General features: G+C 34.2%; 1 protein-coding gene across 6 annotated transcripts in view, besides 1 other annotated feature; it reads left to right on the top strand.

Annotated features, from left to right (window-relative positions):
- Positions 1-27,743, top strand: part of DPYD (dihydropyrimidine dehydrogenase) — an 843,317-nt gene that overhangs the window by 463,102 nt on the left and 352,472 nt on the right. For all 6 annotated transcript variants that reach the window (XM_047448077.1, XM_017000507.2, XM_005270562.3 and 3 more), the window contains one exon: positions 7,735-7,899. In XM_047448077.1, the coding sequence (XP_047304033.1) occupies positions 7,735-7,899 (165 nt within the window). The remainder of the gene's footprint in view (positions 1-7,734; positions 7,900-27,743) is intronic.
- Positions 15,481-16,118: an enhancer, noted in NCBI's record as "NANOG hESC enhancer chr1:97907396-97908033 (GRCh37/hg19 assembly coordinates)". NCBI's record gives its function as "activates a minimal SCP1, AML or CMV promoter by ChIP-STARR-seq in naive H9 embryonic stem cells {active_cell/tissue: H9 hESC(naive)}" and the evidence as "EXISTENCE:reporter gene assay evidence [ECO:0000049][PMID:30033119]".

The following is a 27,743-nucleotide window of genomic DNA, read 5'->3' as shown; positions in this document are numbered from 1 at the left end:
TTAATCACGTTCTAATCCATCTGATATCAGCACTAAAAAAGCCCTTCATCTGTTTCTTGTAAAACTTATCTCCGTGAATGCACAGCTGCTGTGAGCTATTGGTATTAATAACTTGAATAGGAGACAGAACACAATGGATTCTCAAAGCCTGCAGAAAAAGTTTGAACTCCTTAAAACAGTCATTCAGGACTCTGCAATCTGACCCAACTCTATTTAATCCTCCCATCCTCATTTCCGGTTTATTTCCCAGCTTTAGCCGTGAACTAGTTAAAGCCAGTCACCTGAACTCCCACAACTTTTGTTTTGACTGTTTCTGAAGCCTAGTGAGTTGGTGAATGAATAAACATTTATTTATCAAATACCACATGCCAGTCATGTGCTGTATTGCTTCATTTACTATCCTACAACTTCTCTGTGACAGAGTGATGGTTATCCGGATCGGCAGATGAGAAGGTCAAAAAACAAAACAAACCACTTTTAGTGTCTAGTTTACAAAATCATAAGCTCTTTGAAAAAGGGCAAGAGGAAAAACAAAAGGCTACATGATTATGTGAGCCAGTATTTTTATCAGTCAGACATAAATAAAATTCAGAAAATTAATCTCCATATTTCTGTGGTATAAGACACCACATGCTTTATATATGTGACACACTATCCAAGAGGTGAGGAACATTTGGTGTTGGGTGAGCACTGGAGAATATGTGAGTAAAACTCCTTCCTTGGCATATAGCAGACATTCAGTCTGGTCAGTTTTCATTTATTATTCCCGTCTTTTAAGCCTAATCAGGTCGTACATTTTTTCTTATTCATTTTAGAACAATGTGCTCTTCTTTGTTCTTCCTTACCTACTTCTTCCACTGTCTTCCCTGCTTACGTAGAGTATCTATCCATTCCATCAGTTCAGCCTAGGCCAAGACTGAGATTAAGTACACACCGTGCCATGTTGTGTTGACAGTCTTCAACACACTAACACATGATAATGAGAGAGTCCCAGTGTAGTCTAAAACACTGGAGAATGTCAAAGCATTCTTAGAATTTTGATCTTGCAAGGTTTTGGGCCACAGGAATAGGAAATGGACCATCATGTTTGATTCAAGACTATGGAGAGTTTTTATTTCACTAAATGATAATTATTTTGCCTGTCTTACCCCATTTTCCTAGATAATTATCCTTTATCATGCCTGTATATTTTCTTCTAAAGTTTCTAAGGTGAATTTAAATCTACTGGTCCTGGTGTCACAGATTCCTATAATACTAGTTGCCCAGCTCTCAATTACGCCATCATTGTTTACCTGAGCATCTGTGTGAATCCTAATTAATTTTATCCTGCCAGACATAGTTCATTAAACAAGGGATGACTAACTAATGCAGCTTAAGCCCGTTAGGGCCTCTGTCACCAGGGGTTAAAATCTGGCCTAAGAGATTACAAGTTTGGAGGAGTGTCTTTCCCTACAACTTGTAGACTTGGGACTTGTCAGAGAGCTATATTCTATCATATGAACTGAGACAGAGAAAGCCCTCTGTGGAGAGACAGAAAGAAAAATGAAGAGATAAGCCAACAGAAGCAGAGAGGAGACACAGAATGATTCCTAGCTGAGGTATAGTTGCATATTTGTGTGTGTTATGTGAAATACTCCTTTTCCTTAAAATAAATAGACAACACCCCATTTTTTAAAAATTTAACTTATTCAAGTTGATTTGTTTTTCTTGCAACTGAAATGAGTTCTAATTATTATTACATATATTAAATGTTAAGAGGTCACTAACAACATTATTATTATCCATATCACATAAGCACACCTGAGTTCTAGTCTCATCTCGAATGCTTACTAGATATGCAACCATGGATATAGGTCATGATAATTTGAAAAGACTGATATATGTGACAGATTTGTGCTATACATATCTAAAATATTATTATTTCTACAATGTCAGTGCTACAACTTCTCTGATAATTTATCTTTTATTTCTAGGATAATAGTGCTATTTTTGCTTATTGTGTTTTCCATGTAGATAGGTCTGAAGTTCCTGATGACAAAAGGGCAAATTCTGTCACTAATTCAGATATTGAGTACTGTCGTTATATAAGCTACTACAAGAGAAAAATATGATTTATTGGGAACAAATACTTATCTTGCCCACTTTGCACCTCCAAGAAAACCAAGTAGAGAGTATTCTGACCATTATAAAGTTTATTTTGTGGAGGAATCAAATATTAATATACTTAGTTCATGAAGAAAATAAAATGTTAGTGAGTTCTTTCATAGTAGCGCAATTGTTCTAGAAACTGGGCCACTCTTGAATTTTATTTCACTTTTAGCTATTCACAGGGTATCAGTATGTTAGATTTATAATGATGGAATCTGACTCTGTAACAAGATATTTGTTGTTAGACTTGTTTGTAGAGTGATTTTCCTCTTTTGTGAAATAATGTATGGTTATGTTGTACTTATCTCAGTAGGATTTTATTAGGAAAGTGATATATTTTAGGAAACAGTTGGTCATGAAGTACATTTAATTTTTGAACTCCTAGTTTGTAAAACCAAATAATTAAAACATTTTTGACAAAATATTTACAGCAGAATCTTGGAAGTTAAGAAAACAAAACAAATGTTTCTTCGATTTCAGTTACAGGTTTTCAAGTAAACTGATAAAACCTTATCAACAACTCATAGCGATATACACTATACTACTGCATAACTCATTGAACAGATTTCTCATTCTGCCACATTTCTGCAGTTCAAGAGTAAAGCTTCTTTATAATTATATATCACTAGTACTTTCAGAAAGCCCTCCTTGCTCTACCATTTCCAATTTCTCCTCCAGCATCTACCTACTCCAAGAGGTAACTTCTATCTTGAATTATTTTTAGTTGTTACCTTACTTATATTTATAGTTTTATCCTGTCAGTATGTTTCACTAAATAATATATTGCTTTGTGTTGTGTGTCATATTCTATATATTTTTCTAGAACTTGCCCTTTTCATTCAACAAGATGTTTATAAAATTCATCCACTATGGTATATGTAGCCATGATTCACTTTGCAAATTTTATTTCTTGTTTTCATCCAACTTTGTTTGACCCCATTCTTTTTCTAGCCTCTTACTCAGACATTTCTGCAAAGTTTTCTTTTTGTGTTCATTGTGGCCATTGTGACTGTTTTAATTCAGTAGTAACCATAGAAACATCATAAGTTTTTATAATAAGAGAGGTCAAGTAAATGAACCTAAACAAATATAATCAGTCCGCTTACCATTTAAATCTCTTTTCTGATAGAGAAAAAATCATTATCATCACTTCAAATGTTAAAAGGTCACTAATACTTGATGTTATAATGGTAGTTATAATATTACATAAAGCAAAGATATTACCTAACACTTCCTTTTCTATAAACATCTGTTTTTAAAATATCTGAATATCGTTAATGCACTGAAGATGAGAGCTATGGCAGTTTGTCTTTTTTATTATAGAGAATGAACTCTTCTCTACTCTAACTATTCTTGAATATGTTTATTTTGTTATATTAACTCCTTTAAGCAATGCTAATAAGACTTAGCCATTAAATATTAAAGCAAAATATTCTCTTATGAAATCATGCTCAAATTCTAGTCTTCCCAGGTCAAAAGCTTTAGTAAGTTATTGTCCAATTATTTAAACTCTAACTCTAGTTATATAACCAAAGATAATTGGTTATATATGTGTTTTCATTCATCTTTCACTTAATTTAAAAATTCTAAAAGTCTCAATTCAGTGGAGAATGTTTTTGGCAAAACAATAGCAAACATGACAATTTGGGAAAGAAAATCTAGAATAAAATTTTTATTACCGATTTATTACTGGATGAATACATTGGAATTTTGCACTTTAGTTGAATTTGGAAAATGTTGAATTTCTATGATGCTAACAAATTCCTTTCAGATAGTTAACCCATTCTACAACAGTAGGCATCTGTAATTTGAGAAGTTATAAAGGACCTTTTATCTTTGGTTGAATTAAGGAATGAGAAAATTGACCTGTTTAAATAAACATTCTCTATTATAAATCAACACAAAGGAATAAGCATTCTCTATCATAAAGCAAATAAATTTTCCTTTGATTTGGTTTGTACTTCCTGTTCATTATCTTGATTAAGGAGATCATTCATAACTTTCCTATGCTATATTTACAGTTTAACACCACATCGTAGAAGAGAAAAATAAACCAGCTCCAACATTAACAAGAAACTTAACTCATAATACACAAAGAAAAAATTCTTAAAGGTAGAATTGTAGGCTTTGAGGTATTACTGATGAGGGAAATGCTTAAGAAAGAAGCATTTTCTTGACAGTCTTCCAATTAAATATTGTCAGCTTATTGATCCTTTTGGCTAATGTGAGATGTTGGCTTTGTGGTTATTAGTAGGTTACTGTAAATAGCATATAGCATATAGCTTAGAATTCCTGAACCATGAAGATTTTTTTCCTTATTAGTTATAGGTGAAATTTCCATTCTGTGTCTTTTATATTCTATGATATTTTAAAAATTCCTATGTATACTGTTAAGATGTGTTCTTAGCATACAGGACAAACATAAAAGACAACTGTAGTTGGACAGGCTCATTAGCTAGGAAATACCCTAGGTGGTCATGGATCAGGTTAAGAATACACATCCACATGAACCAAAAAAGACTGGTAGTTGTATTGTATCTGAATGGGGGCATTCTATTTAAATCCTAGAGATCAGCGATACCCAGCAGTTAAGAACTAGCAACCAGGAAGGTCTTAGAAGCTGCAGTGAGATGAAGTTCAAGCATGCTTTCTGTCAGGGAGTCATCACAGTAGGCTGCGTGAGAAGGCCTATAGCAGTGGGTGCTTTGTATCACAGCATTTGGTTCAGGGATCTATCCAAGGGAGGGGGTGTACTGAGTTCTAGAAAAAGGGGTCCCTGAAGGATCAGAAGAAGCAAGCAAGAACCCAATTCTAGACAAATGGACTAGCAGGAAAAGATCTAAGCATAGTAATAAATCCTGAACTTTGAATAAAGGCCCGTTTTTGCTATAAAGACATACCTGAGCCTGGGAAATTTATGAAGAAAAATAAGTTTAATTGGCTTATGGTTCTGCAGGCTCTATAGGAAGCATAGCAGCATCTGCTAATGTGGAGGCCTCAGAAAGCTTCCAATCAAGGCAGAAGGGGAAGGGGGAGCAGTCACATCATATGACAAATCAGGAGCAAGAGAAAGAGGGGAGAGATGCTACACACTTTTAAAGGGCCACATCTTACAAGAACTCACTCATTATCATGAGGACAGTACCAAGAGGATGATACTAAACCATTTATGAGAAATTCTCCCCCATGATGCAATCAATCATTTCCACCAGGCCCCACCTCCAACACAGAGGATTACATTTCAACATGAGATTTGGGTGGGGTATACATCCAAACTATATCAAAGCCCAAACCACTGGTCTGTTCAGCAGCAGAATGCAGCCAGCAATAAATGTCTTTGGTTCTCATACCTCAGGACAAGACTTATTCTAGTGCCTATGGTTTTAGTCTAGACTCATTGAAGATACAGTACTTTATTTTAGCACCACTAAAGGCCAGGCTGGAAGCTGGGCATGTAATAGTAAACAAAATATAGTTTCTTTCTTTACAAGTCTTATGCTGTAGTGGAAGGTACAGTCAGGAATATAGACAACCACAATAAATGGTAGTAAGAATGCCAATTGAGGAAGGTATATATTGTTATGGTGGCATGAGTCAGAGCATGTTACTAAGACTCAATGGAGTTGGAGAGAAAAGAAAAACTTCTCAAAGGAACTGAAGTCTAAGTGAAGATATGGAGAATGGGCGGGAGTAGGGATGCTGCTAACGTGAATCAGTTTTGTTGAATAAGCAGGAAGCACCTGTTTCCAGACCAATGAATTAAAAAATGGTCATCAAAACCAGATGCCCCATTATTTGCTCACCAACACAGTACCAGGGCACTTGACTTGGTGAACTAAATACAGACTTCACTCCTCCTTGGCTAAGAAATCCTGTGTAGAGAACAACTTGTGGCCTAGGTTGGACTTACTTAGGTGAAGAGCATTTAGAGTAGGGAGTAAAGCAGAGGAAAGGAGGATCTCAAGGTTTAAAGGGTATGGCTCTTGAAAATTGGAACACAGAAGAAAACCAGCCTCATCTGAGTGAAATATTTCAAGAATTGCCTTCTCAGACCATGAAAACACCGGAGTACCCACTGGATGAGCTTCACAGAGCCACCTGTAGGGACGTAGAACATACATTTAAGCGTTTGCCAAGATGGAAATTGACCCACAAGGCTTGAGCTTCGTGGAGTAACTCTATTTGTCATTTTACCCATTAGGATTGTGAAACATGGTTTCACAATAGCAAATCAAAGCAAGGCTGGTGATGTTGCACACAATTACAATAGAAATGGAATGGCTTAATTAGTAAAAAATTAACTGGCATGATTCCTATAAGTTAAAATGTACATATTTAAGGAGGCTTATTGTAACATTTATACCATTTATTTTATAATATACTAATTCGCATGTAAAAGTGAATGTAAATTACCAGAAATTAACATGCAATGTGAAGAAAAGTCCTTTTATCCTCTGCAACTGTAGCATTTGGCAGATTCAGGAATAAATAATCTTTTGTGGCAAGGGTATGCCTTATCAAACATATGCAGATCAGCACTAATTAATGCTAATTAAGGTTTCCTGTCTATCTAGTTGGAAAAACGTCCAAATGTTATGAAATCCAGTTAGTATGCCTATTACGCTAATTGTTTTATATGGGGTGGTTCTTAATTAAAATATGTAAATTGACCTTAATTGCTATATACTAATGGGGGTTCATGTTATCTTACTAAAAGTGACAAGATGGTGAGGAGGGGTACTTAAATGACTAATTCTGATAAATCCTTAACTAAATGACCTTTCCTCAAAATTAATTTTAATTGGAAGTTGGCAAAAGAAACATTTTCCTTCTTTGTTTCTTTTTAGTTTTAAGTAATGGAAGAATGTTATTCTTCTTCGTTAATACAGCTTTAGAAGCAGTTGTGGATTGTTAATTACACTTAACAAGCAAGTTAATTTTACTGTTTACTGTTTATAGGTATCAGGAAGTTATTGATATACTCATTTCAGTCTTGGAGAAAGTGACTTTCTTCTCATTTAAAGTGAATATATAGTTATAATCCTATAAGTAATTTCACATAACCAGTTTATTAGAATGTGTGTTAATGGTTGATGAGCCAGTAATACTAATATTATTCCTTCACTGATTTACATCGGAGTTACTTTTTTCAGAAAAAAAAAATATAAACTTTTTACTAACATTAATTCTTATTGGAGTTAAACTATGATTGGAGATACCTAGATTAAATAGACAGAAATGATAAACTTTTGCATTTTACCTATCATATTTTTATTATTTAATTGCAAACAAATTAAAATGAGTATGCCCTAAATGAGTGTTAATGAATATAAATATTTTTATTTTTGCGCTATTCTAAACCTAGAATTACAAGAAGTAATTTAGCTAAAGCTAACAAATACTTTATTTTACCTTTTTATTTGCAAGTAGTTTATGTTCAATTCTAATTTAATGTATATTAAAAATTCCTCTGCAAAAATGTGAGAAGGGACCTCATAAAATATTGTCATATGGAAATGAGCAGATAATAAAGATTATAGCTTTTCTTTGTCAAAAGGAGACTCAATATCTTTACTCTTTCATCAGGACATTGTGACAAATGTTTCCCCCAGAATCATCCGGGGAACCACCTCTGGCCCCATGTATGGCCCTGGACAAAGCTCCTTTCTGAATATTGAGCTCATCAGTGAGAAAACGGCTGCATATTGGTGTCAAAGTGTCACTGAACTAAAGGCTGACTTTCCAGACAACGTAAGTGTGATTTAACATCTAAAACAAGAGAATTGGCATAAGTTGGTGAATGTTTATTTAAACATCCAATTCATAGGCTTATAAATATTAATGTGTATATTTTATTAAAGAATCTGCCAGTTGCTTTGCTGATGCATAGAAAGATAAAAAAGAAAGAAAAGCTCAAGAACTCATAAAAACCCACACAATGTGAAGCTTTGTTATAAATGGGTGCCATGTAAGATGGAAGAAGTATCTACATAAGCAGAAGGAAGAGAAATGAAATACTCATTTTATTGAGTTGGTTTTCACTGTATGTGGCTGGTATTTATGAAGGTGATGACCTTAGGAAGAAATTGTAAACTATAAATCATTTTAAATATAAACCTGAGGCAGAAGCAGCATATCTTCCTATGAAGTCTATATTTTTTCAGTGGGAAATAATTTATTAAATAATTTTAACACTCCTATACTAAATTAGTCAACTATCTTTTATAAAATCTTTTTTTTCTCTTAAAGAACCATGCCTAAATATTGCAGTAAAATCAGGCTTGAATATAATAGATAATATTTTCTCTTCAATAGTCTGATTAGGGTGATCCTTAATGTCATTCATTTATTGTCCCTATCCCTCCCACCTCCCTCTCCCACTTCCTATTTTTTTCCTACTCCTTCTTCCTCTTTCTCTCTCTCATCCTTCCTCTCTTTTCCCCTCCCTCCTCCTCAATTCTCTGTCTCTTTCAAATATACACAACTTATTTCTCTTTCTTTCATTCTTTCTTTCAATGAATTGTTAGTGAATGGAGGTTGAGGTTTGAGGCAATGTGTGGGTTTATGTCATCGAAAATATTTTTTTACCTACATATGTCTTTCAAAGACAAAAGACAACACTTAAATATACTAATGATAAATATTTTTAAATCTATTGAAATTGGTGGATGTTTGTCTACAAACTGATAAATTGCAAATTCTTACAAAGGAATATAGAAATCACATGATTGCCTTGCCCATCAAGTTTTTTTTCTGTTTTAGACAGCTCTAATTATTTCAAAATTATCTCTTGATAATTTTGAAATAAAATACATGCACATAGAAATAAAATAAACTTGAAATAAAATACATGCACATAGAACTTGACATAAAATACATGCATTTGAAATAAAATACGTGAAATAAAATAAAATACTAACTTGAAATAAAATACATGCACATAGGACAAATATAATTTATCTTCCTCAAGATAGTCGTTTGGATGTGAAGGGAACTATCGTGACCCGTCTAAAATCTATAGTTTCTGCTTATTAGAAATTTTTCTCTTCCTGAGCTTGATGTGAAAATTATCCCTGTTTTCATATTATATAATTAACTCTATATGAGAATTATGCTGAGCTATTTGTTTATTAAAGGACCCACATCTTTTGGGAAGCCTTTCTCAGAATGATAAGGACTAAAAAAAAAAAAAAGATCAACTATAAAAAGAAATAATATGTTTGTAAACCTGATCTACAGTATTAAATACTCTGCCAGGTACTGAACATGCAACATAATAATAATGGTTATAATATATTATGAGCACTGATATAACACTCACTCTGTGCTAGGCACAGTTACAAAAGTTTTATTTATTTTAAGCTCATTTGATCTTTTTGAACAACTTTATAAGATAGGTAGTATTATTTTCTCTATTTAACTGATGAGGAAACTGAGGCACACAGCGATTAAATACCATATCAATCGTTACACACCTAATATATGGTGAAGCTAGAATTTGAACTTGAAATTTGCTTTTACCATCCATGCTTCTGTTCTGATCCAGTGCATTTGCCTATGTTGTCCTTAAATATTCAGTATTACATTTTTTTTTAACTAGAGATGGGTCCCCCCGCCCAGGCCAGAGTACATTGGCGCCATCATGGCTCGCTGCAGCCTCCAGCTTCTAGGTTCAAGTGATCCTCCTGCCTAAGCCTCCTAAGGCCTACAGGTGCATGCCACCATGCCCGGCTAATTGTTTAATTTTTTGTAGAGATGATGTCTCGCTATGTTGCCCAGGCTGGTCTTGAACTCCTGAACTCAAGCAGTCCTCCTACCTCAGCCTCCCAAAGTGCTGGGATTACAGGTGTAAGCCACTGTTCTAGTATTACATTTTAATGCAACATGAGAATGGTATGAAATATAAATTCCCAAATACTGATTCAATAGTATCTAGATAAGCTAATGTGTCTGAAAAAAAAAATTTTCCTGGAAAATAACTCCTACCAATGGATTGTCTTAACTTCATGTGACACTTTTTCTCTTTTTTGGGTAGGAGTAAGTTGTTGTAATAATGACCACCAAGAAATGACAGTAAGTGGACAAGAAAGCTGAGATGAAACCCTTGCCTTGTGATTCTACAGTTGAGTAGAAAGAAGAGACATAGTTAATATTCTTTTCAGTTTCCCTGGAGATAATTTTCTTCTCTTAGAATGCTTTTTCTTGAGAAAAAAATGCATACTTTTCTTGTTTCTGATTCTTTCCCTATTTAGATTATACACATCATTCTTTTTCTGTATTCCTAGAACTAATTTCTAACATTTTTACTCCTCATATCGAAGATAACGTTTTAAATACCATTAAAATGGCATTCCCATTTGAACCCATAGAAATAATGTGTGTGCACCTCGATATTGCCATGCTGAGAGTAGACAGTCCCCCGCTGTTTTGGAATTATTCTGATGGGTTTGCCCAATGAGCTGAATGAAAGAAGGTGACCCTTCATTTTCCAAGTTTAATTATCACTCTTGCTGGAGTTTTTTCACATCATTCTCGAGTGCATGGCTGCCACCTTTAATGACAGGGACTGGACAATTCAACCCACTGTGGCAGCTTCTAAGCAAAAGCTAACTTTTCTGATAAAAAGAATTGTGCTGGGTGTGGACATAGGTCAGCTAATATCAGTAGCTAATGTCTCTGTTTCCAGAGAGGGTGAGCACCAGTTGACCATGAACCAGAGGAGATGGCTGATGAACTTCTTGAATGTAAAGGCAGAGAGACCTCTGAAATATATTGTGAGGGCTCATCTCTGAATTGTCACAGTTATACCAAAGCCTACATTCACACTAGACTTCTGCTTGGCTTTCAAGGTTTCCTTTTATTTATCTGTGAATTAAATTTGGCACATTGATCATTGTAGTGACAATTTATTACTGACTAAGAGCTTTTTGTTCCTAAGCTGAGATTTTGTAATGCTTATTATTAAATGTGCAGAATAACTAGGGCTTGCAGAAGTCAGTTTAAAGTGAATCCTTTTATTCTCAATGCAAACGCCTTATGAATCATGTATTTTGGGCCGGGGAAAATTTTTTTTAACAAAAAATACATGCTGCACTTTGAATGCACTGAATTAGGAAGCAAAGACTGAAATTTTTTATCATTTGTGGCAGTTAAAGTAGGAAGCAGAAGGTAGGGCTTCAGCAGTGAATCAGGTAGTGAAGATAGAAAAGGAAATGATGGCTTTGTTAGAGAAATTAATAAGGAAGAACAATTGATATGTAAATATACATCTATTACAATACACCTCATTTCTGTAAAAAACACTTCCTCGGTTAATTACTGAGAGATCAGCATTGTACACATTGGGTTCAAAGTGATTCCAAAGAAGTTGATCTACATCAGCACTCCTGAAGGTGCTTTACTGACAAATAGCCTCTAAATATTGAGTTCTTAACATTTTATGTGTACCAGGGACTCCTTAGGCACTCTGGCGAAGCTTGGGAGCCTCTTTCCAGAATATTTTTGAAGGCATAAAACAAAATTCATAGGGTTACAAAGGATTCTCACTATCTCACTTAAAATATACGATATAGTAATGTATTTTTTTTATTAAGGCACTAAGTAACAATCTAGTGATGGGTCTAATAACTACTCAAATTTTGATGTCGTGGTGAGTATAAGTACTTCAGATTTCTGCAGCAACTCTACTGTGATTTTCTGTGATTTCTTTTGGTCCAAAGTGACAGATATCAATAGTGCCACTATGGTTTATTGCATTTGTCATCTTAAAAACATCAGACAATTGGCTGGGTGTGGTGGCTCATGCCTGTAATCCCAGCACTTTGGGAGGCCAAAGCAGGCAGATCACTTGAGGTCAGGAGTTTGTGACCAGCCTGACCAACATGGTGAAACCCCGTCTCTACTAAAAATACAAAAAATTAGTCAGGCATGGTGGCAGGTGCCTGTAATCCCAGCTACTCAAGAGGCTGAGGCAGGAGAACTGCTTGAACCCAGGAGGCAGAGGTTGCAGTGAGCCGAGATTATGCCACTGCACTCCAGCCTGGGCCACAGGAGTGAAACTCAATCTCCAAAAAAAAAAAAAAAATCAGACAATTTATACATTTAGAAAGGAGTAATACTTAGAAAATATTACTACCTGTGGGCTAGGAAGCAGGTTTCTGGCCAAAACCAGAGACAGAAACTTCAAGGGAAGAAAGGTGAGACAGGAATTTATGGTGAAGGGGTTGGCTAAGTATACATACTAGGTTATAGGAGAAGCTATGAATATTCATGAAGGGACCTTAACATCTAAGTTACATATTAGGTTATGGGAGAAGCTATGAATATTCATGAAGGGGCCTTAACATTTAAGTTACATATTAGGTTATAGGAGAAGCTATGAATATGCATGAAGGGGTCTTAATGCATGTGTGCTGAACAAACATGCATGTTATATACATGCAATGTTCACTTTGCAGTGGAGACTTAACATTTGAATGTATTACAGTTGGGCTGTGTACATCAAAAGGTGAAGCAGAGACATGAAGGCACTCAGTGCACAGCCTCTGTAAACTGGGCAGAACCAGTCGATGGTTTGTAGTCCCTTATTAGGAGAAAGTTGCTAAAATCCATCTCTTGTCCAATCAAATCTGTAGTTATGACTGTGGAAGAGGGGAAGTCGGTCAGCATCTGGTGATCAGTGAGCTATAATTGTTTTTATATTGCTTATCTTGAGGCCAGTGCTTGTTTAACTGCCAGAGAAAAAGAAAAAAGGATCCTTGTGGCACTGAGAACAGTTTATTCAAGTGCAGAGGTGCTTGTTTTTACCTTTGCCTGGCATGCCGTTAGGTCTCCTTTATAATTTGGTATCTTATTGAACACAAAGAGTCCATTCTGTCTCACCTGGGGACCAAGGGCCCTTATTTTTAATTTATACATTCATGATTGAAAAATGCCAAAGTTTGGAAGATTGGTAAAAATAAAAGTCTAAATGTTTTCTCACCCAAGTTTATGGATTTCTGTATTCTATAAAGAGTTTCTGGACCGCCGGTTAAGAACCTATGTCCAGTAGCTCTCTATTCTGTTTGGATATTGGAATCTCCTTATAAGAAGCTTTAAAAAAGATACTTATGGTTAGGCCCTATTCTGTTCAATCATTTCAGAAATCTCCTGTGGATACAATGAATATATATGTATGTTTGTGTGTGTATATATGTATATATATGTATATGTGTATATACATATGTGTGTGTATTTTTTGTAAAGTTCATCAATTGATTCTACTACATACACAGCCAGTGTTATTTATGGCTCTTGACCTATATTATTAAATATTTTTAAAACTCCTATATCAGAACAGTTTATTAAGAGCATTTCATATGTTTCAGGCACTGTGCTAAGGGCTTTATGTATCTGTGAAGCAGAGATTTTTTTTCCCATTTTAACATATGATGAAACTGACATTTAGAGATATTGCATTGACTGTCTTGGGTAACACAGCTAGTGAGTGAAAGCACTAGGCCAGGAAGGCTTTCCATTACACCTTGAAGAAATATTTCATTTGGCCCTAAGTAGCCTGAGAAATTAAGAATATGTGTTATTCCAACTCTCTTAAGTGGGCAATCTTAAATATAAATTTTCAAAAAAGAAAACAAATGATCTGACAAGGAAAGAAGATATGTTATCAGCCAAGCATTGTTTTGCTGTTAATCCCAGCTAAGGATATTTTATGCCCAGCTCTTAATGCTTTGCAAGGATGTAGCTGTCTATTGAAAATAGTGTCAGTGGGACTCCATTTGGACTTGGATTTGAGCTGTTACCTGGCCTCATCTGAAATTCTGTATTCCAAAATGGCGGAATCAGGGAACTGAGTCAAATTTAGGTGTCCTGCAAGCGAGGAGGATGCTTATTGCTTACTTGATGGGCGTACGTTAGTCCAGAGCCCTTGTACAGTCTTCTTGCCATCTCCACGAAGACTACCTCTGCAAAAGTAGGCTTCTATTTCTTTGAAGTTTTTATAATTAAGTTTCACTTATTAGAAATAGGGGGATTTTTGTCACTCAGACAACTCGTTTAAAAAAATAAAATTTTGTAACAGGTGAAACTATATCTGTTGTCAGGCCAGCAATGGCTAGTGCAAGATAATTACTTTTGTTACTTATCAAAGAACGTCGAGAGCATGAACATCACCTTAGTTCTTTTGCCTTGTACCCCAAAGAGGATATTCACAAAGAGAAATGTAAGTCTCTGTACTGAAGGGACTTCTCCTTTGTTCCCTCTGAAATTTTTTGAGCTTGTCAAGTCCTTGTTTCTGTTGATTTCTACACAGTCCCATGCTGATTTATTTTAAATAAATTAGGAAACTGCTGAAGCAACTATTGAAGGGAAGACTAGTGTATCCCCAGGAAACCGTTCAGTTTTTTTGTGCTAGAGCTTACGTAGTGATTTTCTGATATTCATGAATTCTAGAGTCAATATATACTTACATCCCATCCTCCTTTCTTTGCCAAAATTCGGGACAAATTTTAACTCAGATTATCTAGTGACATTATTTTGTGGACATTTAAAAATATTCTTCTAATTTACAAAAAAAGAGAATATATCATAATAGTAGTGGAAATTTAAAATATGAGTGGTTAAGAGTAAAAACATCCATGCCCACTTATCCTAACAAAATTCTGTTTTTCTAGAGTTGTAGTCTAGGAGCTAAAGGCAGAGGGCTTAGAGTCAGAACAGATTTGAATCTCAACATCTCCTCTGACTTGCTTTTTATGACACTCTCAGCCTCAATTCCTCATCTGTGTGACCCTCAGAGATAGTTTAAACATTTTGAAAGATTACATATAACATTTTGACACACGGTAATTATTCACTACCATAAATTAGATTGCATAGAATATTTATGCATTTGGTTTTTATCCCTACTTTTAAAATAATATTTTTGTATGTTGTGAAAGGGAGATTTGGCAAGTCAAAGGTAACAGCATGTGTATAGCTTTTAAAGTATATTGCCCAATTGATTTTCAAAACTTGGTGAACTAGTGGTTTTATACAAAATACTTCATTTCAGAAATAGTTACCAATTTAAAAATTAAACACTAACTCACTAAATATGTTTTTCAGTGATTCCTTCAATTTGAGTTCATTATATGTCCTATATCATGTAAGTTTTTGGACTCCTTGTTTAATGTTTTATTTATTATACTCCCCTGCTTTAATATCATTCATTCATTTTACTTCACAGCTTCTCATTAAAACACTTAAATAGTGAGTTCTTTTCTTGGTATCAGCATAGAAGCAAAGAAAAAAATAAAATATATTTAATTTCACAAAACAAGGGTAGCAAAAAATGAATCAGAATATGTAATATGGCTCACAGTTCTGTGATTAGTTTACGGCTCCATGTAGCCAAGTATTTTCTTGACATAGGACATTCGTAGTTCTTTAAAATAAAATGTTAGTGCATCCTAGATGGAAATGGAGACTGGATTTAACCTCCCAATGGAAACAACAACAAAAATCTTAGAATATACATGAAACAACAGCTTTTAAGACCTGGAACATCAGGCAATAAAGGAGAGTGGTCACTGAGAGATAGAAAACAAAGGACTTGCCCCAGGCCCTGAGTTGAGGAGGCTAGAATTCACAAGATAAAGTACAGAAAGCAGAGAGCTACATAAAGAGAATTCCAGAGACCTGCAGGTGTTCTCTTGAGTATGCAGCACTGAGTACAGATCAGCTCATGCATGTGAGTAAACAAAGAGACTGGAAAAAAGGAGGAATGACATGGACTACTCCTTGGTTCTTACATATATCTGGGAATAGTGACTGTTCTTGCCAGCCAAACTGGAAAACTCTATGACCACAAGCATTGAATAGAATATAAATAAGACTCTTAATTAAGTATTGGGAAATAATTAGCCCCAGGCTGAGCACTGCTTTGGTCATGCCCAGCAAATGTTAAAGGTGAGATCTGAAAGGATCAACGTGTTTCCATATAACTTAACTGCAACCCAGATCAAAGCTGAAGAATATTTATAGGAATACAAAAATACCTAGCACCAAAAAAGGTAGGATTCACAATATCCAGCATTCAATAAAAAATTACCTGTTATGTAAATAAGTAGAAAAACATAAGCCATTATAGGAGGAAAATTTATAGATTAAAACCATCCTAGAAGTGACAAGATTAGCATTAGCAGACAAGTACAATAAAGCTGTTATAATTATATTCCTTATGTTCAAAAAGCTAAGACATGGAAGATAGATAAAAGAGCTAAATAAAACTTCCAGAAATTAAAACTACAATGAATAAGATGAAAGGTAACTGGAAGCTATGAACAGCACTTTAGGCATTGCATAAGAAATGATTAGTAACCTTAAAAATATAACAATAAAAGCTATCCAAAATGAAACGCACACACACACGCAAACAGAGAAAGAGAGAGAAGTAAACATACCATCAGGGAGCTGGTGACAATAAGTGGCCTAATATATGTGTAATTAGAGTCCCTGAAGGAAGTTGTGGAAATACAGAAAAAAATTTCAAGAAATAATAGTGCAAAGCTTCCAGTTTTGCCTAAAACTACAAACCTCCCAAAACACCCCTCCCCAAAAAAACCCCCAAGAAACTTCATCAACTCCAAGCATAAGAAACATTAAGAAAACTATACCAGGCAGTAATGTAATCAGATTAATCAAACCAGTGATAAAGAGAAAAATCTTAAAAGCAGCCAGAGAATAAAGACATGTTCTGTACAGAAAAACACATGTAACAGTTACTAGTGTGATTAATTGTCAGAAACAATCTAAGCTATGAGACAGAGGGGCAACATCTTAAAAGTACTGAAAGAAAAGGACGAATATTAACCTAGATTTCAAAATCCAGCCACATACCTTTTAAAAATATAAGTGAAATAAATAATTTTTCAAGCACAATAAAAGGAGGTCTACACTGCGTAATGTTAAACTGTTTTAGGCAGATGGAATATGATGCCAGGTCAAACTGTGGTTCTACACAATGGAATAAAGACCACCAGAATTGTAACTACATGGGTAAATATATGATGTTTTCCCATTAATTAACTCATTTTAGAAGAAAATAGGTTGTTTAAACAAAAAATAAGATAATATGGGGGTTATAGCATACATAAAGCTAAATGTACAACTATAGTACGAAAGTTGGGAGGAAAGAGATGGAAGTATACTGCTCTAGGGTTCTAACACCTTTTGTAAATTTTTCTATTACTTGGAGGTAGGCTTTTATAATTCAAAGATGCTCTAAGAGTACCTTAAAGATACTCTAAAACAATCACTAAAATAAAGCCTCAAAGAGTTATAGCCAAAAAACCAACAATCAATATATAATGGAATAATAAAAAGTACTTAATCCAAAAGAAAGAAGAAGAAAGAGGAGTAAAAAAGAGATGAGACAAATAGAATCCATATAGTATATAGATGATAAGAGTTAAACCTAACCATTAAATAATCTCATGAAAAATGTAAATGGTCTAAGCACCGCAATTAAAGGGCAGAGATTTTCACATTGGATTTTTTTTTTTTTTTTTGAGAGGGAGTTTTGCTTTTGTTGCCCAGACTGGAGTGCAATGGTGTGATATTGGCTCACCACAACTTTTGCCTCCCGGTTCAAGGCCTCAGCCTCCCGAGTAGTTGGGATTACAGGCATGCGTCACCATGCCTGGCTAATTTTGTAGTTTTAGTATAGACAGGGTTTCTCCATGTTGGTCAGGCTGGTCTCGAACTCCCGACCTCAGGTGATCCCCCCGCCTCGGCCTCCCAAAGTGCTGGGATTACAGGCGTGAGCCACCGCGCCCGGCCGAAAATAGACTTCTAAATAACCCTTGGATCAAAGAAAAAATCATAAAGAAATTAGAAAGTACCTTGAACTGAATGGAAATGAAAATACAGAATGTCAATATTTGTGGTGTGCCATAAAACATTATTCATGGGGAAATTTATAGTACCAAATGCATGTATCAAAATGAAAAAAAGTCTCAAGTTAATGACCTACATTTTTACCTTTAAAAACTAAAAAAAGAGCAGATTGAACCCAAAGTAAATAAAATAAATGATATAATAAAGATCAGAGTGGAAAAGAAATGAAATTGGAAAAAGAAAAAAAATAGAGAACATCAATGAAGGTAAAGCTGGTTCCTTGCGGAGACGAAAAAAATTGACCAAACTTTAGCCAGACTGATCAGGAAACAAAAAGAAGAAACACAGATTACCAATATAGAAAAGGAGAGAGATAACATCACTGCAGATTCTACAGATATTAAAAGGAAAATGACATCATATTATGAACAACATTATGTAAATGAATTAATCAACTTAAGTGAACTGGACAATTTCCTTGAAGGACACAAACTATAAAAGCTTATTCAAGAGACAATAGATAACATTAGAGAAAATAAAACTTCAGGCCCAGATTGCTTCACAAGTAGATTCGCTAAACTACTTAGAAAAGAATAGTGCCAGTTCTATACATACCTTTCAGAAATGTAAAATAGAGGGAATACTTCTCAACACATTCTATGGGGCCAACACCCTGATACCACAATTAGAGAAAGAGTACAAGGAACTCCAGATAGGAACTCCAGATAGGGTTAATATTTGAAAGTAGCATAGTTCATATGTTATAAACTAAATAGTGATAATCACACAAAATATATTATCTCAATAAACCCAATAGAAAAAAAAATTTGAAGAAATTAAAAATCTATTTCTAGTTAAAATGGGAAAAATCTCAGCAAATTAATAGTAGGAAAATTCCTTAACTTGATGAAGGGTATGTACAACAAAGCCTACAACTAATATCATACTAAATAGTGAAAGACTGTATGCTTTCCTCCTAAGTGAAATAAGGATATCTGCTTTCACCAACTTCCATTCCACATTATGCTAGAGATTCTGCCCTGTCCAATTAGAAGAAAAAAATAAAAGACTGCAAAGGAAGAAGTAAAACTGTCTTTATATACAATTTGATTATCTGTGTAGAAAATCCATGGAATATACCAAAGAAACAACCAACCAAAAAAATCACTTAATTTACAGGAACAGTCAGATAGCCCACAGGCTGTTGTTTTTAGATTGTATTTTTTTTTTAATTACAGTAAAACACCTTCTCTTCATTACTGAGACTTTTGCCATTCCCTTAATTTTTGCAGCTGAGATAAATACCTAACTTGCCTATCCTAGATTTGGCCCTGTCAGAATACTTTAGGTAATCAGTGAGTTTGACAAGGTTGAAGGATATAAGATTGGCTTGTAAAAATTAATTGTATTTTTATATGCAAGCAATAAACAACTGGAAATTAAAATAAATATATCATTTACAGTAGCAGCAAATCATGAAATACAGATAAATCTGACAAAAGATGTGAAAGATAAGAACACTGAAAACAACAATCCATTTCTGAGAGAAATTAAAGACAACCTAATAAATGGAAGAATATACTGTATTCATAGATCAGAGGAGCCACTATTGTTAAGATGCCAAGTCTTCCCATTTTTATCTATGGATAAAGTGCAATCCCAATCAAAATATTAGCAAACCTTTTTTGTGGAGTTTGACAAGCTGATCTTGAAATTCATATGGAAGTGCAAAGGACTTACAAAACAATTGATAAAGAACAAAGTTGGAAGTCTAAAACTTTCTGATACCGAGCTATGTTAAAATTACAGTAATGAGATAGTCTGGTGTTGGCATAAAGATAGGCAAATAGATTAATGTGGCAGAATAGTAAGTCCTACAAACAACCCACAAATTATTTATATGAACAACTGATTTTTGACAAAGATGCAAAAAGGCAATTCAGTGGACAAAATATAGTCTTTCAGCAAATATGCTGGAAAAATTGGGTGTTCTTATGCAACAAGAAAGTAAGCCTTGATTCAGATCTCACATGATATATAGAAGTTAACTTAAAATACTCATAGACCTAAATGAGAAACCTAAAACTATAAAACTTTTTGAAGAAAACTTTTGACCTTTGTTAGGTAAATATTTGTCAGATACCTACCAAAATTACTGCCTTTGAAAGAGAGAAAAAGGATATATGTGATTTGATACAAATTAAAAACATTTCCTCTTCAAACTCGTTTATAAAGAAATATGAAAATACAGATGACAGACTGAAAGAAAATAGTTGCAAATCATATATCTGATACAGTACTTTGGTGGGTTTATTTTAGAAATTTAAACATATACCCATCATATGACCCAGATATTTTACTTTTAGATATCTACCCAAGAGAAAACAAAACATATATCTATACAAAGACTTGTACGGGAATGTTCATAGAAGTTTTATTTGTAACAACAACAACAACAAAAAACCTGGGACTAACTCATATTTTCATCAACAACTGAAAAGATAAACAAATTGTGGTATATTCATACTATGAAATATCACTTAGCAATAAAAAGAATGAACTATTATACACACAACAAAATGGATTAATCTCAAAATAATTATTTCAAGTGAAGGAATCCAGATTCAAAAAAAAAAACACCTCACAAAAGTACATATATTATTATGTCATCCTAAAACTAGAAAATGTGAACTGATCTGTAGTGACACAAAGTAAATCAATGGTTGTCTTATGGACAGAGGGGTTATGAGTGGGAGAGAGGAGTTATAAAGAGTCACATGGAAACTTTTTGGCAAAATAGATATGTTCATTATCTTGATTGTGATAATGGTCTTAAAGTATTACATATGTCAAAATTTATAAAATTGTATACTTTAAGTATGTATAATTTATTGTATACTTTAATAAATTATTATTTTATTCTTTATATAACATATATAGAAGTATACTTCCATAAATCTGTTTAAAAAATTGGTTTAACTTAAAATTATTATAGCCCTTTTCCTGGAATGCATCTTGGGAATTACTTTTAGGTTGAGTTGAATCGCTAACACCCGGCTACCTAGCTCTTCAGTCCCTACCCAACTCTTCAAGTTACCAGTCAATTAACACCCTCTAGCATTTTGATCATTCTCACTTTGATACTGAGTCATGGGAATTAACATGAAGTTAAAAATGACCTTAGATAGTATTAAGAAATGAAAGAAATATTGGTTGGATTGTTAAGCTTTGGCTTTGCTGAAGATTAAAATGCTGGTGGTTCATGTCATTCAGTAAAAGAAGAATCTTGAGAAAATCCATCAAACCTTTTAAAAGAGTCATTTTACAAGCATTACTGGCTACAACATACTCTTTCTCAAATACCCCTTCATTTTGTAATTTGTCAGGCTGCCTTTGGGGTGAGAATATTGTCTTTCCACATTGGAAGTATAGCATCTAACACACTGAACCATGTGAAAGAGACCCTGGGGATGGCAATGATGCAGTGAATGTGGAGTCTTTCATGGTATAAACTAGCTCATGAGAGAGGCAATGGAAACAATTTATAAATTGCTTATGTTTGTCACATACCCAGTTCATGTCAAAAAATGAAAATAAAATTCATATTCAAAGAGCTGAAAAGCTTTGTTCAGTAGGCTCGCTTACATAATATCAATTTAGTAATATTTCATAACAATTCGTGTTGCGATCTCAACTCCAATGTAATCTTACTTAGTATCAATTTGGTACTATTTCATAACAATCAGTGTTGAGAACTCAACTCTAATGCAATCTTCTCTTAAAGGGCTGGGGAAAGAAGGAGAAAGAAAGGATAATGTGAAAACTGTAACAATTGTTTTCCTCCTACTTATCCCCTCAAGCCTTTAAAATGTGCAAAGGGCCCATTTAATCTGCTAATTTGTAAGCAATTTTAGAAAAATGCACAACTGTTTTATGAGAGGCTTAAATGTAGGAGGCAATATAAAGTTTTTATTTAGCAGAATATGCTACAAGTATATGTGTTTCATTAGCTCTGTTACAAACTATTCATTTCATTTTACTCTTTTTTGGGCTTATTGATAACTATATATTTTTTTTCTCCCCCAGCTTCCTTTTTTGCCAGTAGCTAGTTTATTCTTTTACATTGTACCCTACAGGGAATACTCTTTAGATATTTATTTTTCACAAAGAACTAATTTCACATTTTCCCCCTGAGGTCTTCTAAGATATTTACTTGAAAGCATCCTCTTTATTGTTTAAAATAGCTTATAAAAAACAATACTTAACACATTATTTTTTAAGGGTTTATATACTGTATTTTAATGACTGCTTTTCTTTTTTAATTGTTATTTTTGATTAGATAATTGATTCAGTTTAAACTATATCTGTGATCCACAAATATGATCCAATTAATTGTAAATCAATTAAAAAGAGACTGTTCATGAGAGACACAGGACTACTAGCTTAATCACCAGGCAAACCAGACATCCTTAAAATAAGACAAATGAAGTATACTTTGATATAACAGTTAAATGTGTATAATGAATTCTTTAATTTACTGAAAATTTTACTATGTGGGATATGTCTTCATTTTAATAACCAAAATTTATAAAAGTACAAATTAGAATGAGGGCCATTTTGGTAAGAATATATACTAATACAGGTAACTAGTAGTTATCCATTTTAATAGGAGGCAGGGAAGAATCAGTCAATGAAATTTGTTGGTAAAGATGTAACCATATTTCTACCAGTTTCTTCAACCTTTCTACCAGTGTATTTCATAACCATGTTAGAGAGAAAAGGTACAATTTTTTAAAAAGGAGCAAGGAAGAAGAAAAAAAGAGATATACTTTGGCAATGAGCCTTTTCCCCAAAACAAACTGATTCTTAAGGAAAGTAGAAGAAACAAGAATTGACAAAGGGGTTTTACAAATTGAAAACATAACAGTTTCTTAGTTTTGTATAGCCATTTATAGGATACAGATGTGTATTTCTCTGAATCGATTTCACAATAACCTCACAAAAAAGATATGAATATCATCCTGATTGCATGATAAGACTGATATCTGGATGAAGGTAAGGACTTTCCTATGGATAGTTTTTAAATAGTAAGTGATAGAATTTCAAATTGAACACAGAACATCTGACCACACAGTCCCCACTGTTCTGCTAAGAAACTGTATTTTCTTAAATAAAACTATGCATATATACTTACGCACAATAAAAAGATTGTTTTTTAAAGCCAAACATCAGATTATTTAGAATTATCTATGAATGATTTACTTTTCCTTTTCACCTGGATTTTCATTTCCTTTGGTGGAGGTGCTAATGAGCAGAGAAATGGGAAAGGTAATCAGCCAGAGGGAAGAGAAGAATCAAAGACCTAGATAATTCACAAACTGGAAAATGAGCTCCTAACTAATCAAGACTGGATTGTAAATAGGATAGAAAGAATTTATGCATCCCTGGTATTAGCCTGAATAGCATTTGTACCCAATCCAAGGAAAGTATTTGTGAATTTCACAGTTGGCTATTTTTTCTCCCTCTGAGATTCTTTTCCTGAACTAATTATCCATTGTGTACATGAAGCAAAGAAATAACTTATCATTAAAGTCATTTTTGAGGTAGATATTTCACTTTGCATTTGTTAAAATGCCTAGAGCATTAATAAGGAATGAGTTAACTTTATTAATACATCTTCTTTGGGGAGTTTCTGATCTATATACTGATCAGCCAAAAGGAAATTTTCTGTAATATTTTAGTCATGCAAAATTTAGGGAAGTAACCAGATTGACTAATCTTTCCATAATAAATAATTTAATTTAACTTTGTGCTGCTTTTTGCATTTTAATTTTTTCATAATGTGTCCTTTAAAACCTTCAATATTAAAATGATCAGTGACTGTTTTGTGCCTGATTTAGTTTAAATTGTAAATTTAGTTATGGCTCTTGGGTTACAAAGTATGGGTGGGGAGATGTCTTAATATAGGAAATGAACACAATTAAAGGCTGGAATGGCTACGTGTACAATAAGTTTTTAAATGAATTACTGGAAACTGTGTAGCAATCAATATGAGAAATGACATATAACACCATATAACAGTAATTATTATTGTTACCTCGACTATAATTATTCCTCAAATGCTTTACATTTCATATATTTTCATACATACTATTCAACTGCAGAGTTGTATGAAATGTTTTATGACTCACAGTTGTTGCCTAATCTCTGCTTAAAACCTTCCAAGGCCTTTCCAATTCAAACTCAGACTGCTAGGATAATAGATACCATATGGTTAGCTTATGACTTTGAAATTCAGGCAGGACTTCTGCTTCTAGTAAGGATGTAGAAAGCTATAAGAGATTATTACTCCTACCCTAATAACCATAACAAAAGATATAAGCCACAAAATTAGACTTTTAAAAAACTTACCTAAAATCTGAAAATGCAAATAAACTTAAATGAACTAAATTTCAGAAAGTGACAAGGAGAGCAGAAACTCATGACTGCTTTGCTCCCTGGAGAAATGGTGAAAGGAAGATGTCACTGTAGAGACACCAGTTAAAATTGTAAAGAACTTTTAATGAATGTTTTTAGAGTTGTGTGATGTGTGAGAACCCCAAGAAGCCCAGGCACGGACCATCTCTGCACTCATCAACCAACCGTCTCATGGGACTTCACTGAATTGTCAACCAAATGTAAAGCCAAGGCAGCCAAGCTGAGAGATATCCCCCCTAAGGCAAGCAGGGCCTCCTCCAGTTAAAAGAGGTCTGCTGAAGGCTAAGGCAGGGAAAAAGCCTTGAGAGAAATCCCCCCAGTGCATTCTAGGCCTTCACTAGTTGTACTGCAGTGGCTCTTTGGAAGACTAGAGGAAGGGAAGATCAGTAGAAAGATATCCTGAAGCACAAAAAACCATGGTGAAACTAGAGAGCAGAGAGAACTCCCGAGCAACCTAAAAACCTAGGAGCTGGCCTGTAAAGCAGCAAGAGATATCCCTTGGTTCAGAAAGTTGGTTACTGGATTAACAATAAGTAAAGAGATTCTAGAGTCTTTCTGGGACTCAAGTCCCAAGTCCTGCTGAAGAGAAGGTTCTGCTCTCGACACATTTGAAGGCAATGAAGAACCGAATCTAACTAAAGCAGCGGCACAACCCAGACTCTGCTTAACTGTAGACTTAATCCACTCAGTCTCCTAATTAGCAGCCTAATAAGAGAAGTGGTGTGCCCTTTTCTGGGGATGACTATTATTTCTGTAAATTTCTACTGCTCTTTTACAGAAACCATCTGGCACTCAATAAAAAATTATAAGACATGAGGGAAAAAAAGTGTGGCCCAAGATCAACAGAATATTCTTGAGAGTGGTCCATAGAAGCAGACCCACACATAGAATTGGAATTATCAGATAGAGACGTAAAATAACCATGATAAATGTGGAAAAAAAAAATCTAGTGGGAGAGGTGGAAAAACAGTCATGAAAAGATGTGGAATTTTATTAGAGAGTTGTAAAATAAATATTTTAACAGATCCAAAGAGAAATAAAAGAAGTGAAGAATACATTATGAGAAATGAAGAATTCATTGACCAGGCTTAAGGGAGACTAGACAAGATGGAGGAAGGAATCAGTGAAGTTGAAGACATAGTAAATTAGCATAGGCACTATGGAAAGCAGTATGGGTGTGGGAGAGGGCTCTAAAAAAGCTAAAAATAGAACTACCGTATGACCCAGCAGTCCTGCTGCTGGGAATATATCCAAAAGAAATCACTATATCAAAGAGATATCTGCACCCTCATGTTTTTTGCAGCACTATTCACAATAGCCAATATATGGATTCAACCTAAGTGTCCATCAATGGATGAATGGACTAAAAAAAGTGGTATAGATACACAATGGAATATTTTTCAGCCGTAGAAAGAATGAAATTCTATCATTTGCAACAACATAGATGGAACCGGAGAACATTGTGTCAAGTGAAATAAGCTAGGCACAGAAAGACAAACATTTCATGTTCTCACTTACATATGAGAGATAAAAAACTGATCTCATGGAGATAGAGTGTAGAATGGCGATTACCAGAGGCTGGGAAGTGTAGTGGGAGGGGAAGGGGAAGGGTAAAGAGAGATTGGTTAATGGTTACAAAAATATAGTTAGATAGAAGGAATAAGAACTAGTGTTCAGTAATATAATAGGGCTAATATAGTTAACAATAATTAATTGCATATTTCAAAATAACTGAGGAGTGGAATTGGAATGTTTCTAATACAAAGAAATGATAAATGTTTGAGGTGATGGATATCCTAATTACCCTGATTTGATCATTACACATTGTATGCTTGTATCAAAATATCATAGGTACTCCATAAAAATGTACAATTATTATATAACCATAAAAATTATTGAAAGAAATTCCCCAAACTGACAAATCAAAGAGAAAAAATATGCCACAGTGTCCAATACCTGTGGAACAATATCAGAAGTTCTAACATTCATATAATTGAATGTTATAAAGAGATAAGATAGAGATTGGAGCAGAAATCATCAACTCGCTTGGTACCATCTCCCAGTGGCCTTCCTTGGCCATCATTTTAAAAGCAGGCCCCTATGCCAGACTCCAGTCATTCTCAATCACATTGCTAGGTTTTAGTGCCTCAATAATATTCATTTCTGTATAAATTGTTCATTTTTTTTCTTTTTATTCTACCAATATTTATTGAATGTATGCTAAATGCCAGACATTATTTTAGAACCTAGTATTGAACAAGACAGATGGAGTCTGTTTTCTCACAAAACATTTTTTCTCTATGTGTAAGAATCTTTTTTCTTTGTTTTCTCATTTACCCCTGAATCTGTACCTCCTTGAAGAATGGCTGGTGCATAAGGGGAGCGCAATAAATATTTCTTAAGAAAAAATAAATTAATTAATTGTCCTGCAGGTCAATTCTAAAACCCTATTTTTTAATTTCCTCCTCCAGGATTGTCTGGAAAAAACTGCTAAGCCTGTTCTGCTATCTGTTATTTTTTTTTTCCTTCTGAACTCAGGCTCCACTTCTACTAAATTCTCAGTAGGATTGGTTCACATATAGGCAATGTTTACAAATTGATATAGATAGATATAAAAAGTATATAGATGTAAAATTGTATTTCAGTAAGAGGAATCAGATGTTGGGGAAGGATAATCATACTTCTATTAATGCATGAATCCATGCATCTTGTAATTATGTGCATATAAGACTCTGCTTACTAACCAGACAGCAGTCTCGCAGTGTTCCTAGGGCCAAGCCCCATGCTTAGCACAGTTCAACTGCTTCTCTTTTATGTGCATCATAGTATTTTATTAAAATTCACGTGAAAGAGGACATTTTTTTTTTTCCCAAGACTGAGTTTCACTCTGCTGCCCAGGCTGGAGTGCAGTGACGCGATTTCAGCTCACTGCCACCTCCACCTCCTGGGTTCAAGCATGCTAAATAATCTATAAAAATCAGTCTTATAAATAAAGGACATATGCCATAAAATGTTTCTGTTTTTTTAAAGGCAACTGTCAAAATACTTTTTAGAAATTATTCTTCTCATTTAGAATCCATGTCCCGTAGGCCTTGTTAGGCGGAATCTGAGAAACCAATGAGCAAATCTGTCAGTCTTTCAGTGACTGGATTACTAAGTATATTTCAAGTCACACACTAGAATTCTCCAAGGGTACGACTTCATTCTCATAGTTGTAACTAAGGAACTACTACACATCTCCTGCG

The sequence above is a fragment of the Homo sapiens genome, chromosome 1 (assembly GCF_000001405.40).
Source record: "Homo sapiens chromosome 1, GRCh38.p14 Primary Assembly".
In the NCBI taxonomy this organism is placed as follows: Eukaryota; Metazoa; Chordata; class Mammalia; order Primates; family Hominidae; genus Homo; species Homo sapiens.
Note: the sequence above shows the minus strand (reverse complement) of the source record. Positions and strands in the feature narration are given on the sequence as shown.